Here is an 18,165-nt window from a genome sequence, read left to right as displayed (position 1 = left end):
AATTGAAAAAATCCAAAAAATGGTTGTTAAAGGTAGTCACATGACCCAGAAATTTAGATAACTGTCTGATATTTTTATGCCACAGGGTTATACACTGAACAGTTGTCTTACTGACAGATCCCATGTTATATCCTGCTTTGTATGCCATTCAAGATCTTTTATACTTGCCAGGCCTCTCTCTGATGTCACAGATCCTCAAAGCTGAACTTGAGTTCATCTTAACAGTATTTACTTGATCCACCTGACACCTTTCACCTGAGAACCCAGGAGACCGTGCACAGGCATAAGACTTTCTTAGTGTTAGTTAGTGTTAGGCATGATTCAGGGACATGCCAGTACACTTTTTATTGAAGTATATCTATCTATCTTCAGTAAACTTTTTATTGAAGTATAACTTTTTTTAAATGCACAAATCCAGGCCAGGCGTGGTGGCTCACACCTGTAGTACCATCACTGCGGGAGGCTGAGGCGAGTGGATCACTTGAGCCCAGGAGTTCAAGACCAGCCTGGGAAACATGGCGAAACCCCATCTCTACCAAAAATATATATATATATGTATATGTATATATATACGTATATATATATATATGTATATGTATATATATACGTATATATATACATATATATACACACACAAAGAAAATTAGCCAGGCATGGTAGCATGCACCTCTAATCCCAGCTCCTTGGAAGGCTGAGTTGGGAGGATTGCCTCAGCCCAGAAAGTGGAGGCTGCAGTGAGCCGAGATTGCGCCACTGCACTCCAGCCCGGGTGACAGAGTGAGACTCTGTCTCAAAAATAAAAACAAAAATAAATAAATGCACTAATCTAAAGTGTGCAGCTAGATGAATTTCCACAAAGTTAATACATCTGTGTAACCAGCACCCAATCAAGAAACAGAATATTACCTCCCTCAGTAAGACCCCAGGTACCATTTCCTCCTATTTTTCCTTCACCCTCACCAAGTGGAACCACTCTCCCAACTTTTAACCCCATAGATTAGTATGGTCTGACTTTGGGCTTTATATAAATGGAATAATTTAGTATGTACCTTTTTTGTCTGGCTTCTTTTGCTTCATATTTTGTTTGTGAGCTGTATTTATGATGTTGTAGCCCATTCTCATTGCTGTATTGTATTACGTTGAACAAATATACCACTATCCTACTGCTGGTGGACATTTGGGTTGTTTCAAGGATGAGGCTTTTATGAATAATGTGGCTGTTTTAACACTCTTGTGACACTATCTTTTTAATGAAGTGAACTACACACAAAATTTTATTTCACTTGCATTTTTTGTCTTCCTTTATAGAACACTGTTGGAGAATGGCAAACCGTGTTCTATATTGCTGCTGCTATTAATGTTTTTGGTGCCATTTTCTTTACACTATTCGCCAAAGGTGAAGTACAAAACTGGGCTCTCAATGATCACCATGGACACAGACACTGAAGGAACCAATAAATAATCCTGCCTCTATTAATGTATTTTTATTTATCATGTAACCTCAAAGTGCCTTCTGTATTGTGTAAGCATTCTATGTCTTTTTTTAATTGTACTTGTATTAGATTTTTAAGGCCTATAATCATGAAATATCACTAGTTGCCAGAATAATAAAATGAACTGTGTTTAATTATGAATAATATGTAAGCTAGGACTTCTACTTTAGGTTCACATACCTGCCTGCTAGTCGGGCAACATGAAGTAGGACAGTTCTGTTGATTTTTTAGGGCCATACTAAAGGGAATGAGCTGAAACAGACCTCCTGATACCTTTGCTTAATTAAACTAGATGATAATTCTCAGGTACTGATAAACACCTGTTGTTGTTCACTTTCCTCATAAAAATTGTCAGCTCTCTCTGACACTTAGACCTCAAACTTTAGCATCTCTGTGGAGCTGCCATCCACTGTATAATTTCGCCTGGCAACTGGACTGAGGGGAGTGTGCCCAGGCAGCTGCCAAGCACTCCCTCCCTGGCTTCAGGGTCAGAGTGCCCAGCGTTTATCAGAGGCAGCATCCAAGCCCAGAGCCAGTGTCGACTCTTCGGCTGGTGCCTTTCCTCTGAGGGGCTATCAATGTGTAGATAAAGCCCTGAGTAGGCAAGAGCAGTGAGATCCACTGCTATGGTCTTGATACATCCTCAAACTTTCCCTTCCCAGCACAGAGGAATATTGGCTGGCATGCAACCTGCAAAAGAAAAATGCGAAGCGGCCGGGCACGGTGGCTCATGCCTGTAATCCCAGCACTTTGGGGGGCTGAGGTGGGCGAATCATGAGATCAGGAGTTCGAGACCAGCCTGGCCAGCATGGTGAAACCCCATCTCTACTAAAAATACAAAAAATTAGCTGGGCGTGGTGACGGGCGCCTGTAATCCCAGATACTCAGGAGGCTGAGGTAGGAGAATCACTTGAACCTGGGAGGTGGAAGTTGCAGTGAACCAAGATCACGCCACTGCACTCCAGCCTGGGCGATGGAGCGAGACTCCAACTCAAAAAAAAAAAAAGAATAAAGAAAGAAAAGTGCGATGCCCAGTCAATCACAAATAAGATCATCCTGGTTTAAATCTACTCTCACATGGATCACAGTATAAATTTCTATGTGCTGTGTTTTGTTCGTTTGTATTTTGTAGAGATGGGGTCTCGTTTTGTCGCCCAGGCTGGTTTTGAACTCCTGGCTTCAAGCGATCCTCCTGTCTCGGCCTCACAAAGTGTTGAGACTACAGGCATGAGCCACTGTGCCCAGCCTGTTCTATGTTTTTAAGCTACACGAGAATTTTTTTTTTAATTAATTCTCACTGTTTGTTCAGTCTGTCTTCATCTAAGTTTGTGTTGCAGTTTAAAGTTAAAGTGACTTTTAAAGGCCACATCACCTGAGACTAGGGTAATCATCTTTACTTCTGGTTCCTGAAATCATATTTTTCCAGTGGACCATCCTCCAGTGGCTGTGGTTGTTGAGCATGCTTTCAGAACACCTATGTGGCTTAAAACTTAGTTTATGTTTTGTGTTCAACACTACGTGTAATATTTTAAAACTGTTTAATGTGATGTGAATACATTTATGTACATTTATTTTTAAATTTGTAAATAGCTTTAAATTGCTATGGCAATGTTTCTTTTATAAATCATCAAAATAAACCTTTGTGAATTGATTTTTGGATCTGACAGTTCTGTGATGTTTCCTAGTGTCCACAGTGACTCTTTGACATCTTTTCTGCATCCTGCTCGAGCCATCGTCTTCTCTACACACATTTCTGCTACCACAAAGCCGAGGAACTTGGGCCTCCTAAGGGATACAGCATCAGAAATCTCTGTTGCCATCAACCTGCCCTTCCTAGCTCTGAATAGAGTCAGTCCTTCTTGCTATAGCATATGCCCACACTACACTGATTCTCTCTCTCCCACCTCCTCTAAGGACTTGCTTCAGTAATTCTTTTTTTAAATAATTGAGACAGGGTCTTGCTTTGTTGCCCAAGCTGAGCTCAAGCGATCCTCCTGCCTCAGCCTCCCAAGTAGCTGGCACTACACAGCATGTGCTATCACGCCCAGTTAGGAGCTCCTCTTTCATTTACTTCTTCAGTCTCTCCCCTTATTCTTTTCCTTCTATCTCAGAGATACACACGTCTTCTCTAGTCCTTAAATAAAAATACAGAAGTCTCCTGGAGACATTAAATCACAAGTGTACAGAATATCTCTAAGATAATACTCAAGAAACTGGAAAACAGTGTGTGATTTTATAGATAGATATAGATACAGATATAGATTTTCATCCATGGTTCGAGGCTCATAACTCCCGTAGCTCTTGTTATGTTGAGCGCCTTTAGCCCTTAGAAGTAGCCTCAGGAAACAGAATCTTTCTGATCCTCTCCTCTCCTCCTTTCACCTGCTGCTTTTTCTCCCAAGGCAGGAATCTTCCCCCACCTTTCTGTCTTGGAACTGGTCATAAAGAAATTCTGTGGCTGGGGAGGTGGCTCACACCTGTAATCCCAGCACTTTGGGAGGCTGAGGCGGGCGGATCACAAGGTCAGGAGTTCGAGACCAGCCTGGACAATATGGTGAAACCCCGTCCCTACTAAAAATACAAAAATGAGCCAGGCGTGGTGGCGGGCGTCTGTAGTCCCAGCTACTCGGGAGGCTGAGGCAGGAGAATCACTTAAACCCGGGAGGTGAAGGTTACAGTGAGCCGAGATTGCACCACTGCACTCCAGCATGGGTGACAGAGTGAGACTCCGTCTCAAAAAAAAAAAAAAAAATTATGTGGCCTACCTTGTTGGACTGTAGGTCATAAGACCCCATGCCCACGTTTGAGAAGAGGTCCTCTCCATACCCTGGAGGAAGGAATGCTGCACAGAGAGGCCAAGAAGAATCTGGACAGGACTTGGTGGGTTTCCCTCTGAGTCTATTAGTGTTAGATCACACCCTTTCTGTCCAATCACATTTCTACATGGTTGTTAATCATGACTATCCAATGAAGTCTCCATAAAAGGCCTAATAAGACAGGGTTTGGGGAGGCTACTGATAGCTGAACACATGGAGGTTCCTGGAGGGTGGCACGCCCAGAGAGGGCATGGAAGTTCCTCATCCCTTTCCCCAGACATTGCCCTGTGCATCTCTTCATCTGTGTCCTTTGTAATATCCTTTATAGTAAATGATAAACATAAGTGTTTCCCTGAGTTCTTCGAACCACTCTAGCAAATCGATTGAACCAAAAGAGGCAGTTGTGAAAACCTCAACTTGAAGCCAGCAGGTCACAAGTTCCAGAACCCTAGACTTGGGACTGGTGTCTCCAGTGGTGGGCAATCCTGGGGACTGGGCCTTCAACCTGTGGAATCGGATGCTACCTCCAGGTAGACAGTGTCAGTACTGAATTGGGAGACACCCAGTCGGTGTCTGTTGCAGAACTGATTGCTTAGTTGGTGTGTGAGGAAAAACCCACACCCTTTTAATCACAGAAGTCTTCTGTGTTTATTGTTGAATGAGAGATAAGAAAAAAACACATTTGGGCCGGGCGCGGTGGCTCACGCCTGTAATCCCAGCACTTTGGGAGGCCGAGGCGGGTGGATCACGAGGTCAGGAGATCGAAACCATCCTGGCTAACATGGTGAAACCCCACCTCTACTGAAAATACAAAAAAATTAGCCAGGCATGGTGGCAGGTGCCTGTAGTCCCAGCTACTCCGGAGGCTGAGGCAGGAGAATGGCATGAAGCCGGGAGGCGGAGCTTGCAGTGCGCTGAGATCGCGCCACTGCACTCCAGCCTGAGCGACAGAGTGAGACTCCGTCTCAAAAAAGAAAAAGAAAAAGAAAAAAAACACATTTGGCCCGCCGTGGTGGCTCACGCCTGTAATCCCAGCACTTTGGAAGGCTGAGGCAGGCAGATCACCTGAGATCAGAAGTTCGAGACCAGCCTGACCAACATGGAGAAACCCTGTCTCTACTAAAAAATACAAAATTAGCCGGGCATGGTGGCACATGCCTGTAATCCCAGCTACACGGGAGGCTGAGGCAGGAGAATCGCTTGAACCCAGGAGGCAGAGGTTGCGGTGAGCCAAGATCACGCAATTGCACTCCAGCCTGGGCAACAAGAGCGAATCTCAGTCTCAAAAAAAACAAAAAAAAAAAAAACAAAAAAAAAAAAACACAGTTTGAGTAGATTTTTCCACAAACAACGGTTACCTCTATAGAGATAAAATCAGCAACTAGGGATAGGAAGGACAATTAATTTTCACTTTACCAAATGTGGCAGTATGACCTATTCAAATAAATATATTGTTTCATTTATTTATTTATTTTCAGACGGACACTTGCTCTGTTGCCCAGGCTGGAGTGCAGTGGCGCGATCTCTGCTCACTGCGACCTCCACCTCCCAGGTTCAGCGATTCCCCTGCCTCAGCCTCCTGAGTAGCTGGGACTAAAGGCATGCGCCACCATACCTGGCTAATTTTTGTATTTTTAGTAGAGATGGGGTTTCACCATGTTGGCCAGGCTGGTCTACGAACTCCTGACCTCGTGATTTGCCCGCCTCAGCCTCCCAAAGTGCTGGGATTGCCGTGCCTGGCCAAATATATTGTTTTAAAAACAAAAGACCTGTTGCCCAAGCTGTTGTGTAATCACCGCTAGGTTTTCTTTTTTTTTTTTTTTTTGAGACGGAGTCTCGCTCTGTCGCGCAGGCTGGAGTGCAGTGGCGCGATCTCAGCTCACTGCAAGCTCTGCCTCCCAGGTTCACGCCATTCTCCTGCCTCAGCCTCCCGAGTAGCTGGGACTACAGGCGCCCACCACCACGCTAGGCTAATTTTTTGTATTTTTAGTAGAGACGGGGTTTCACTGTGTTAGCCAGGATGGTCTCGATCTCCTGACCTTGTGATCCGCCCACCTCGGCCTCCCAAAGTGCTGGGATTACAGGCGTGAGCCACCGTGCCTGGCACCGCTAGGTTTTCAACTACCTGCTGGACATCCCCAGCTGGCTATCCTTCCTTGCACCTGAGACTATTTAAATCCAACCTCACTCCCCCACCCCCATTCTAAATAAAACTGGCTGTTCCTGCCACCTTCATATTTCTCTTAAAAGTACATTTCCCCAGTCACTTAGGCTTGGCCCAAAGTCATTTCTGTTCCTCCTCCCTAGCCTCCCACCAAACCCCCTACTCTGTGCCAAAACAACCACCTGCCGACCGGGCACGGTGGCTCACACCTGTAATCCCAGCACTTTGGGAGGCCAAGGCGGGTGGATTGCCTGAGGTCAAGAGTTCCAGACCAGCCTGGCTAACGTGGTGAAACACCTTCTCTACTAAAAATACAAAAAAATTAGCCGGGCATGGTGGCACCCGCCTTCAGTCCTACAAAATACAAAAAATTAGCTGGACATGGTGGTGCAGACCTGTAGTTCCCAGCTACTCGGGAGGCTGAGGCAGGAGAATCTCTTCCACCCGGGAGATGGAGGTTGCAGTAAGCCGAGATCGCACCACTGCCCTCCAGCCTGGGCGACAGAAGGGGACCCCGTCAAAAAACAAAAACAAAAAAAAAAAACACCTGGCTCTTCCATTTCAGTTTTTTCATGTCTCTGGAATTTTTTGTTTGTTTTGAAACAGAGTATCACTCTGTCACCCAGGCTGGGGGGCGTGGCATGATCACAGCTCACTGCAGCCTCTACCCCACAGGCTCAAGAGATCCTCCCACTTCAGCCTCCAGACTAGCTGGTACTAAAGGTCTGCACCACCATGCCCAGCTAATTTTTGTATTTTGTAGAGATGGGGTTTCACTATGTTGTCCAGTCTAGTCTCCTGGGTTCAAGTGATCCTCCCGCCTCAGCCTTTCAAAGTGCCGGGATTACAGGTGTAAGCCACCATGTCCGGCCTGGAATTTTTTTTTTCTTAATCCTTCTTCCAGGCCAGGCACAGTGCCTCACACCTGAAATCCCAGTACTTTGGAAGGTCAAGGTGGATAGATGGCTTGAGCCCGGGAGTTTGAGACCAGCTTGGGCAACATGGTGAAACCTGGTCTCTACAAAAAATACAAAAAATTGGCCGGGCATGGTGGTGCATACCTGTAGCCCCAGTTATTCAGGAGGCTGAGTTGAGAGAATCACTTGAGCCCAGGAGATCGAGGCTGCAGTGAGCTGAGATCTCACTGCACTCCAGACTGAGTGACAGAGCGAGAGTCTTTCTCAAAAAAAAAAACAACAAAAAAAAAACCCACTCTCATCTCCTAAGTAAGAGTCTAGTGGCTTTTGTTTACACCTAGAGTAGAAAAGTTAAGTGGTATCACTGCCTTTAGTCTTGCCCTCTTCTATCCCAGCTTCCCACCAGTGTTGAGTTCATTGTCCCAATACAACTAATCTCTCTGATTAAGGTGCTCCCCTATGGTGAGCCCCATGGCTTCCCTGGGCCTACCCAGTAAACTCTCCCACCCAGCAGCTGTGCCCTCCTCACCCTTAGGTTCAGCCTACCCTACCCTTATCTTATGGTGGGAGCCATGCCTTGTTGCAGCGATCTGGCTGCTTCACTTCCCCATGCCTTCTCTCCATCTTCCCTTTCCTCTTCATACCTTTATTAATTTCCTTCCCTGGGTCTGGAAGGTCTCTCCTCAACCTTGCCACCTCCTTCATGACCCCTAATTTCTTCCACCCTCCCTGATCTAGATGTGGTGTCTCCCTTTAACCTACTAAAGTGCCACATTATTTATTTATTTTGGGGTTTCCCTTTATTTTAAACTCAAGGATTTAGGCTCAATTATGTGGAAGAGAGAATTTCTTCATTCATTCAGCGAATACTAAGTATCTACCCTTTGCTAGGCAACAAGGATACAAAGATGCATCTGACACAGCCCTTTCCCTCCCTGGAGCTCCTTCTGACTCCTTGACTCCTTGATCCCCTTCCTCCTTTTTTTTTTTTTTGGAGACAGAGTCTTGCTCTGTTGCCCAGGCTGTAGTGCAGTGGTATAATCTCCACTCACTGCAACCTCTGCCTCCCAGGTTCAAGAAATTCTCCTGCCTCAGCCTCCCGAATAGCTGGGACCACAGGTCCATGCCGCCACATCCAGCTAATTTTTTGTATTTTTAGTAGAGACTAAAATACTAAATTTTTAGTAGAGCCTGTTGCCCAGGCTGGCCTCGAACCCCTGAGCTCAGGCAATCCGCCAGCCTCAGCCTCCCGTGAGCCACTGCACCCGGCCCTCTTTCTTTATAATACTTAATGAACACATGTCTGTGTCTGTCCCAGGAATAGATTCATCACAAACATCTTGAAGGCAGGGTTCATTCCATTCATCTCAGCATGGTCTCACTCATAACAACATGTGCTTAGTTCACTTAGGATGCTTATTAAATAACAACCCTTTAGTTAAATAGACTAAAAATTGATATTTTTGACCAGGCACAAAGGCTCACACCTGTTATCCCAACACTTTATGAGGCTGAGGGCAGGAGGATTGCTTGAGCCCAGGAATTCAATACCAGACTGCACAACAAGGCAAGACCCCATCTCTACAAAAAATTTTCTAAAAACTTAGCCAGGTGTGCTGGCACAGACCTGTGGTCCCAGCTACTCAGGAGGCTGAGGTGGGAGGATCACTTGAGCCCAGGAGGTTGAGGCCACAGTGAGCCATGTTCACACCAAGCCACTCCAGCCTGGGCAACAGAGCAAGACCCTGTCTCAAAAAATAATAAATAAATACATAATTTTTTTTTTGAGATGGAGTTTCGCTTTTGTTGCCCATACTGGAGTGCAGTGGCACGATCTTGGCTCACTGCAACCTCCACCTCCCGGGTTCAAGAGATTCTCCTGCTTCAGCTTCCCAAATAGCTGGGATTACAGGTGCCTGCCACCATGCCCGGCTACTTTTTGTATTTTTAGTTGAGACGAGGCTTACCATGTTGGCCAGGCTGGTCTCGAACTCCTGACCTCATGTGATCCGCCCACAAAGGCCTCCCAAAGTGCTGGGATTACAGGCGTGAGCCACAGCACCTGGCCAATAAATAGAAATTTTTGATCTCATATATTGTTTTTTTCATATGTTTTCTGCTGACCCAAAAAATTAAATAAATGTGCCGACTGCTTTTCAATTTTTTTTTTCAATAAGGCTCCAGGTCAACAGTAGTGCAAGCTTTTAATGAATAAATATGCTAACATCAAAATAAGTTATAAATGGTAATTATTAGCAAATAGTTTTGAAAGTATTTGAGAGTAGCTTAGTTTTGTATATGCAAAATACTTCTCCCAGTTATTCAACAAGTATTTACTGAGCATCCACTATGTACCAGGCATTGCTTTTTGCACGACGACATGGAAGTGGAAAAAAAAAAAGAAATAAGCCAAGTCCCTTTTCTCCTGCAGCTCACATTTTTATTTATCAAGCGTTTTTGTTTATAAGCTCCAGCCTTCAAAACCTCTCATGTAAAAGCATTATTATCCACCCAACAAGCAAATCCAATGGGGAAGAAGCGTGCCAACTGACCTTGAGAGTCCAGTTTATGAAAGAACTTGAGACAAACGCTGAAGACAGCAGTTTGTATTAGCCATGGTAATGTCTTTCTTACTTCAGCCTTTGTTTCGTTTTCAGGAAATCAGAAATAGAGATATCTGAGTTTAGACTTTGTTGCAGAGTAGATTATCTTATCTCCCCTCTGGATGTTCAAAATAAAATTCCCCCAAATATTGGGACCAAAGCTATCACAAAAACAAAACAAACAAACAAAAAAGCCAGCCATGGTGGTGCATGCCTGTGGTCTCAGCTACTCAGGAGGTTGAGGTGGGAGGATAGCTTGAGCCCAAGTGGTCAAGGCTTCAGTGAGCCAAGATCATACCACTGCCCTCCAGCCTGGGTGACAGAGCCAGACGCTGTCTCACAAAAAAGAAAAGAGAGAGAGAGAAATTCCCCCAAACAGAAAAAGACTGATGTAACATTTAAATGTGAAGGCAGGAAGACCACTATAGGAAATGGCCTGGTTCCTCTCAGTAAAAGCATGTTACTGCCTCAGAAGAAGAGACATGGGGTAAATGTTTAATTTCAGTTAAAGAATAAATTATCTTTCTCATAGACATGTAAATTAAGATGGATCACAAAGCCTTTTCAGATGCCTCTGCCTTTTAGAGCAACCATAAGCAGAAAAGCCAATTATAAAAGTTTTTACTCTCAAAGGATAATATAGAAAATTATTTCTAGGAGCTGTGCAAAGGAAAGCTGTGAGCATAAGCAATACTGAAAAGAAATGAAATGTAAGGAATTTTCTGCCCCCTTTTCTTATGTGCCTGGAGGAGGAAGAACACTAGTAATTTTCCAAGTGCCTGTTTACTTTCACTTTATCTTGATGTTGGGGGAGGCGGAAACTTAGAAGTGTTACATCACTGCCAGTCCTGTGCTTGAGTGAGAAGCCACTTTTGCCCAACTGAGCTAAAAAACTATTGAAACTATCAGTTTCCTCATACACATTCTCAGTCCATAATCGTCTAGACTTTGGTAGAGGGGTAGGATTATACATATATATTGTATTAAATCTTTTTCTTAAGCACTCTCACTGTCAGAAACAACTGAAATACGCTAACATGTCCAACAGTGTTATCACCTCTCCGATCAAGTGTGCATCCTGGTCCCAATCATGCTTTAGAGCACTACAAATAGCCCCTTGTGTTAAGCACGTTTTATAGCCTTCACTCTACAGTCTGAAACTTGAACTTTCCCCAGAAGTTTTGTTGATATTAAAAGTGATCTGGAAAGGATAAAGAGTCTGATCTTTTTAATGCTTAAGAATTGTTTTGGGCTGGGCATGGTGGCTCATGCTTATAGTCCCAGCACTTTGGGAGACCAAGGCGGGAGAATCATTAAGATCAGGAGTTTGAGATCAGCCAGACCAACATAGTGAAACCCCGTCTCTACTAAAAATACAAAAATTAGCTGGGCATGGTGGCGTGAGCCTGTAGTCCTAGCTACTCAGGAGGCTGAGGCAGGAGAATCACTTGAACTCGGGAGGTGGAGGTTGCAGGGAGCCGAGATGATACCACCGTATTCCAGCCTGGGCAATAGAGCAAGACTCCATCTCAGAAAAAAAAAAAAAAAAAAAAAAGAACTGTTTTGTATGAAGTAATGAATGCTGTTAGAGGAAATTCAAGTCTGTATATTGAATAAATCACCCATATAAGATCTAATTTTTTTTTTTTTTTGAGACAGAGTCTTGCTCTGTCACCCAGGCTGGAATGCAGTGGCACGATCTCAGCTCACTGCAACCTTGGCCTCCTGGGTTCAAGCAATTCTCTGCCTCAGCCTCCCCAATATCTGGGATTACAGGCGCCCACCACCATACCTTGCTAATTTTTTTGTATTTTTATTTATTTATTTATTTTTCTTTTTTTTGAGACAGAGTCTTGCTCTGTTGCCCAGGCTGGAGTGCAGTGGTGCCATCTCGGCTCACTGCAAGCTCCGTCTCCCGGGTTCATGCCATTCTCCTGCCTCAGCCTCCCGAGTAGCTGGGACTACAGGTGCCCACCACCACGCCTGGCTAATTTTTTTGTATTTTTAGTAGAGACGGGGTTTCACCGTGTTAGCCAGGATGGTCTCGATCTCCTGACCTCGTAATCCACCCGCCTCGGCCTCCCAAAGTGCTGGGATTACAGGCGTAAGCCACCGAGCCCAGCCTGTATTTTTAGTAGAGACCGGGTTTCACCATCTTGGCCAGGTTATTCTTCAACTCCTGAACTCATGATCCATCCACCTCGGCCTCTCAAAGTGCTGGGATTACAGACGTGAGCCACTGCGCCCGGCCTACAATATCTATTATAATGCACTTCTCTCTTTTTTTTTTTTTTTTTAACACTAAGAAGATATTTCAGGCTGGGTGTGGTGGCTCCCATCTGTAACATCTGCAATCCTAGCATTTTGGGAGGCTGACACTTAAGCCTCGGAGTTCAAGACCAGCCTGGGCAACATAGTGAGACCCTCTCCTCTATAAAACAATAAAATAAAACAAAGAAAAGAAAGAAAAAATGTGTAAAGAAAAAAAAAAAAAAGAAGGCCAGACACAGTGGCTCACGCCTGTAATCCCAGCACTTAGGGAGGCCAAGGCAGGTGGATCACCTGAGGTCAGGAGTTCGAACCCAGCCTGGCCAACATGGTGAAACCCTGTCTCTACTAAAAATACAAAAATTAGCCGGGCGTAGTGGTGGGCGCCTGTAATCCCAGCTACTAGGGAGGCTGAGTCAGGAGAATTGCTTGAACCCGGGAGACGGAGGTTGCAGTGAGCCGAGGTGGCGCCACTGCACTCCAGCCTGGGCTACAAGAACAAAACTCCGTCTCAAAAAATAAAAAAGAAAAGGAAAGGAAAGGAGAAAAGAAATGCACACTAAACTATAATGAAATATTACTTTAGATCCATCAGATTGGCAAAAATTAGAAAATATGGCTGGGCATGGTGGCTCACGCCTGTAATCCAGCACTTTGGAAGGCCGAGGCAGGCGATCACCTGAGGTCAGGAGCTCGAGACTCAGCCTGGCCAATACGGCAAAACCTGTCTCTACTAAAAATACCAGAAAAAAAAAAAAAAAGCTGGGTGTAGTGGTGGTCGCCTGTAATCCCAGCTACTAGGGAGGCTGAGGCAGGTGAATCGCTTGAACCCAGGAGGCGGAGGTTGCAGTAAGCCAGTATCACGCCATTGCACTCCAGCCTGGGCAACAGGAGCGAAATTCCATCTAAAAAAAAAAATTATAAAACCTGATGCTAAGTGTTGGCAAAGGATGTGGGAAGACAAAAATTCTTGTCCACAAAGGGAGTGAGTGTGGGATATAAACTGGCAAACCCATTCCAGAAAGCAAAATGTTTGTATTTGAATTAAATAAAAATGTGTCCTTTGGCCCTGTATATATGCCCCACATCTGGGTATATGTCCCAGAGTGATTTGCTGAAGTCCCTAAGAAAGCGTATACTCCACACTGTTTATTGTGACAGAGTTGGAGGCAACCCAGGTGTCCATGATTAGGGAAATATAAGTTAAATCTGGTGGATGTTTATTATGGAATAATATAATTCAGGACCATATAGAGACCTCAAAAATGTTGAGTAGGCCAGGCGCGGTGGCTCAGGCCTGAAATCCCAGCACTTTGGGAGGCCGAGGCAGGCAGATCACCTGAGGTCAGGAGTTTGAAACCAGCCTGGCCAAGATGGTGAAACCCGGTCTCTACTAAAAATACAAAATTAGCGAGGCGTGGTGGCACATGCCTGTAATCCCAGCTACTCGGGAGGCTGCGACGGGAGAATCACTTGAACCCAGGAGGTGGAGGTTGCAGTGAGCTGAGATTGCACCACTGCACTCTAGCCTGGGCAACACAGCAAGACTCCATCTCATAAATAAATAAATAAAATAAAAGTGTACAAGTCAGCTGGGCATGATGGAGTGCACCTGTAGGGCTCAGCTACTCAGGAGGCTGTAGAGGGAAGATTACTTGAGCCTAGGAAACATAGCAAGACCCCATCTCTTTTTTAAAAAAGTGTACAATTTAGTGATTTTTTAGTATATTCAGGGTTGTGCAACTATTAAATGTCTAATTACAGAACACGTCATCACCCTGTAAAGAAACCTCATATCCATTCACAGTCACTCTTCATTCCCTCTCTTTTCCCAGTACCAGTCAACCACTAACCTACTTTCCGTCTCTACAGATATGACTATTCTGGACATTTCTTATAGAATATGTGATCTGTTATGACTGGCTTATTTCTCTTAGCCTGTTTTCTAGGTTCATCCTCTGGTAGCATGTATCTGTATTTCATTCCTTTTTTATTGCCAAATAATATTCCATTGAATGGATATATTATTATTTATTTGTTTTTTCATTAGTTGATGTTTCTATTTTTTGGCAGTTATGAATAACACTGCTAGAACATTCACGTACAGGTGTTTTATTCTTTTTTTTTTTTTTTTTTTTTTTGAGACAGGGTCTCACTCTGTTGCCCAGACTGGAGTGCAGTGGTGTGATCTTGACTCATTGCAGCCTCCACCTCCTGGGTTCAAGTGATTCTCGTACTTCAGCCTCCTGAGTAGCTGGGACTACAGGCACATGCCACCATGCCTGGCTAATTTTTGTATTTTTAGTAGAGACGGGGTTTTGCCATGTTGGCCAAGCTGGTCTCAAACTCCTGGGCTCAGGTGATCCACCTGCCTCAGCCTCTCAAAGTGCTCAGATTACAGGCATAAGCCACCACACCCAGACTAGTTGATTTTAGTATATGGTAAGAAATAGGGGTCTATTTGCTTTTTTTTTTTTTCCTGCTGCTGTGTGAGGAGCAGGGCTAACTCATAGGCAGTGTGTCCAGAGACGGTGAGGGGTCTAGTTTCATTCTTCTGCATATGGATATCGAGTTTTCCCAGCATCATTTATTGAAGGAGGCATCCTTTTCCTGGTGTATGTCCACGGTGCCTTTATAAAAAAATGTTGGCTGTAAATGCATGGATTTATTTCTGGGTTCTCTATTCTGTTCCATTGGTCGGTGTCTGTTTTTATACCAATACCATGCTGTTTCAGTTACTATCACTTTGTAGTATATTTTGAATCAGGTAGTGTAATACCTCCAGCTTTGTTCATTTTGCTCAGTATAGCTTTGGCTAGTTGGGGTCTTTATGGTTCCATATTAATTTTAGGGATTTTTTTTCTATTTCTGTGAAGAATGTCATTGGTATTTTTATAGCAATTGCATTGCTATAGATTGCTTTGGGTCATTAAAAATAATAATAACAATCAGAAAAAGAATGCATTGTAAAAAACAAATACAAAAACTCAAGGTCAGCCCCAAAACTTCCGCCTGACTTTAGAACCCCAAATCTAGGGTTTCTGGCTCTTGGGCTTCAGGCTGGAGTGACCCTCCCCAATCCACCCTCAAACTTTACACCTCAGACTGGATGATAAGGTGGCTTCTGTGGCCTACAAAGTGGCCCTTGTTGATATTCATGTCAGCCCACTGGCCATGCCAAATGACCCATATTTACTTGCCAATAAAAACACCAAAAAACAAAACACTGACACTCCTGAAGGATGCCATTCAGCTCACTACTTTCTCCACTCTCTTATCCCAGTGTCAATGTCCATAACTTTCACCATAAGGACTTTGTATTTTAAAAAATACGTTTTAAAGAACCGATTGTTACAGCATAAACACACACGCACACGCACACACACACACACACACACACACCCTGTCTTCAGAAGCTTGGAATACATTACAGATTCACTGCCCTAAAAACCACTCACAGCAGGGATCGTTTTACCCCGGACACCAAAGAAATCCTCCAGATTTGAGCCACTCGGTGGCGAAACACGGACTGTGGGTATTTCCCAGTAGGGTGGGGTGCAGCAAATATTTATAGCTCTCAGGAAACTTGTGTTTGACTCATATTTTAGCTGATTCGTGAATAAGAACTATCAAAGGCTAGATTTTTTTTTCTTTCTTTTTGGTTTAAGGAAAGAAGATGACTAGTGGAGCAACTATTTCTGCGTGACTGCAGAGAGAAAACACAAAGAAAGGAATTTAGAATGACTCAGCCCGGGCGGCGCAGCGGGTGAGGGCCTCGCGAACAATGGAAAGTCACACTGGGGCCTCAGAACCCGGGTCTACACCCTCAGCGTCAGAGGCTGCTGACCGCTGGGGGCAGCAGGGACACTAGGCAAAAAGTGACTTTCTTGTCCCTCATTTCTTGCTTTTTAGCCTAAAATGCAGAACTAGCTCTTAAGATTGAAATATAATTATGATAATTTTGTAAAACTCACAGGAGCTCTGGGACATAAAAGCAAAGGTCCGGGGCCTCATTCCCAGAGGCCAGGGTCATTTGGGCAGCAAATAACAAATGCCAGGAATCCACACATCAACTCGCCTGGGCTGGGGATGGGGGTGGGGGTGGGTAGGACTCTGAGCACGTTTTTTTAACTCACCAGAAAACTTTCTAGAAAAAAAAAAAAAAAGCCCAAGGGCGCCACATGGCTAGCCTTTGCTTCCAGGCCAAGGGTAAAAGTCTTTGCTGTACCTCCAAGAGGCCAGCTTGGACCTCACAGGATAATGAATTTGCCCTTTCTGGCAGGAACAGGAACTCAGAAAAGAAATTGGCCAGAGGCCTGGTGGTTAGGAGATTGTTTCTGAAAAAATGCAATCATCTAATAGAGAATCTGTTGAGCTTAGGGTTTCTTGTGTGGGACTCAGTTACTCTCGAGGAATGTAGCAGCTGCAGCCAACATTTAAAAATCAATAGAATATATAGAATACCCTGTTTTTTTGTTGTTTGTATGTTTGCCAGTGCATGGTATAGATGTCCAGGCTGCGCCCTAAATATCTCCCAGAGGCCCTTCCAGTATCCCCAGGGAGACCAGGTCCACACCCACCCCAAGGCTGGGGCACAGCCCACATGGTTTCTGCAGGTTGCACCCAGGCTCTGCATGTCAAGTGGCACAAGATCTGGAGCACATGCCCTGCTGGGGAAGGGAGGCACCGCCTCTGGCAAATCCCCCCAGCCGGTGCCTCTCCTCCCTATTGTCCTGGCCACTCTGTGCCCTGTCCAGGACAGCTTCCTGCCAGCCCCACAGCCCAGGATGCCATCCAAATTGACAAGTTGCCCTCTAAATCTTCCTTCCTGCCAGGTGCAGTGGCTCACGCCTGTAATCCTAAACTTTAGGATGCCAAGGTGGGTGGATCATGAGGTCAAGAGATCAAGACCATCCTGGCCAAGATGGTGAAACCCCATCTCTACTAAGAATTCCAAAATTAGCCAGGCGTGGTGGCAGTCACCTTTAATCCCAGCTACTGGGGAGGCTGAGGCAGAAGAATTGCTTGAACCCGGAGGCAAAGGTTGCAGTGAGCCGACACCACGCCATTGCACTCCAGCCTGGGTGACAGAGCAAGACTCTGTCTCAAAAAAAAAAAAAAAGGAAAAAAAAAAAGACAGCCTAATTCAGCACTACACTTTGAAAAATATCCTGTTTTGTTAAAAATGCTTAGACCTAGTAAGTGTATTTTGCTCCACTTTTCTTAAATACTTGGAGATTTATCTGTAAACGCACGCAACAATTTCTGTTGACATCAGCAAAGCAGGGTTAGCAAGTGCTGCAGGGGACGTAGAACTAGCCAGACTGACCTAACAGTGGTATTTCTTCCCACAGGATTCTCTCTGTGCATTATCTTTATACACATAGAGTTATTACTTACATAGATACAGATTTGGGGGAAAAAGATTTTTTTTCCTGACTGTGGCTTCCTAGCTGCCTATGTGTAGTTAGCAATAGCAAACCAAATTTTTTTAAACAAACTCTTATAGTAGGTACTGTATGTGCAGACACTGTGTAGTCTTACTCTTACATATGTTAATTCAGTTAATTCTCACAACTCTATGAAGTAGGTACTACTATTATCATTCCCTTTTTTTTTTTTTTTTTTGAGACGGAGTCTCACTCTGTCACCCAGGCTGGAGTGCTGTGGCGCAATCTTGGCCCATGGCAACCTCCACCTCCCAGGTTCAAGCGATTCTCCTGCCTCAGCATCCCAAGTGGCACGCACTACCACGCTCAGCTAATTTTTGTATTTTTAGTAGAGACAAGGTTTCACCATGTTGGCCAGACTGGCCTTGAACTCCTGACCTCAAATGATCCGCCTGCCTCAGCCTCCCAAAGTGCTGGGATTACAGGCATGAGCCACCTCACCTGGCCTTCATTT

At 44.7% G+C, this 18,165-nt stretch overlaps 1 protein-coding gene across 10 annotated transcripts in view, besides 6 other annotated features; it reads left to right on the top strand.

Moving 5' to 3' along the window:
- Window positions 1-3,144, top strand: part of SLC17A5 (solute carrier family 17 member 5) — a 60,614-nt gene extending 57,470 nt beyond the window's left edge. For all 10 annotated transcript variants that reach the window (NM_001382636.1, NM_001382629.1, NM_001382632.1 and 7 more), the window contains one exon: window positions 1,309-3,144. In NM_001382636.1, coding sequence (NP_001369565.1) covers window positions 1,309-1,446 — 138 coding nt within the window. In that variant the 3' untranslated portion in view covers window positions 1,447-3,144. The remainder of the gene's footprint in view (window positions 1-1,308) is intronic.
- Window positions 14,239-15,081: an enhancer, noted in NCBI's record as "NANOG-H3K27ac-H3K4me1 hESC enhancer chr6:74291165-74292007 (GRCh37/hg19 assembly coordinates)". NCBI's record gives its function as "activates a minimal SCP1, AML or CMV promoter by ChIP-STARR-seq in primed H9 embryonic stem cells {active_cell/tissue: H9 hESC(primed)}" and the evidence as "EXISTENCE:reporter gene assay evidence [ECO:0000049][PMID:30033119]".
- Window positions 15,082-15,925: an enhancer, noted in NCBI's record as "OCT4-NANOG-H3K27ac-H3K4me1 hESC enhancer chr6:74290321-74291164 (GRCh37/hg19 assembly coordinates)". NCBI's record gives its function as "activates a minimal SCP1, AML or CMV promoter by ChIP-STARR-seq in primed H9 embryonic stem cells {active_cell/tissue: H9 hESC(primed)}" and the evidence as "EXISTENCE:reporter gene assay evidence [ECO:0000049][PMID:30033119]".
- Window positions 15,082-16,769: a biological region, named in NCBI's record as "P300/CBP strongly-dependent group 1 enhancer GRCh37_chr6:74289636-74290835".
- Window positions 15,411-16,610: an enhancer, noted in NCBI's record as "P300/CBP strongly-dependent group 1 enhancer chr6:74289636-74290835 (GRCh37/hg19 assembly coordinates)". NCBI's record gives its function as "activates an origin of replication core promoter dependent on BRD2, BRD4, P300/CBP, MED14 and CDK7 cofactors, with strong dependence on P300/CBP, by STARR-seq in HCT116 cells {active_cell/tissue: HCT116}" and the evidence as "EXISTENCE:reporter gene assay evidence [ECO:0000049][PMID:35650434]".
- Window positions 15,691-16,020: an enhancer, noted in NCBI's record as "active region_24753". NCBI's record gives its function as "activates an Ori minimal core promoter by ATAC-STARR-seq in GM12878 lymphoblastoid cells {active_cell/tissue: GM12878}" and the evidence as "EXISTENCE:reporter gene assay evidence [ECO:0000049][PMID:35858748]".
- Window positions 15,926-16,769: an enhancer, noted in NCBI's record as "OCT4-NANOG-H3K27ac-H3K4me1 hESC enhancer chr6:74289477-74290320 (GRCh37/hg19 assembly coordinates)". NCBI's record gives its function as "activates a minimal SCP1, AML or CMV promoter by ChIP-STARR-seq in primed H9 embryonic stem cells {active_cell/tissue: H9 hESC(primed)}" and the evidence as "EXISTENCE:reporter gene assay evidence [ECO:0000049][PMID:30033119]".

Source organism: Homo sapiens, chromosome 6 (assembly GCF_000001405.40).
Source record: "Homo sapiens chromosome 6, GRCh38.p14 Primary Assembly".
In the NCBI taxonomy this organism is placed as follows: domain Eukaryota; kingdom Metazoa; phylum Chordata; class Mammalia; order Primates; family Hominidae; genus Homo; species Homo sapiens.
This window is presented reverse-complemented; position numbering and strand designations above follow the sequence as displayed.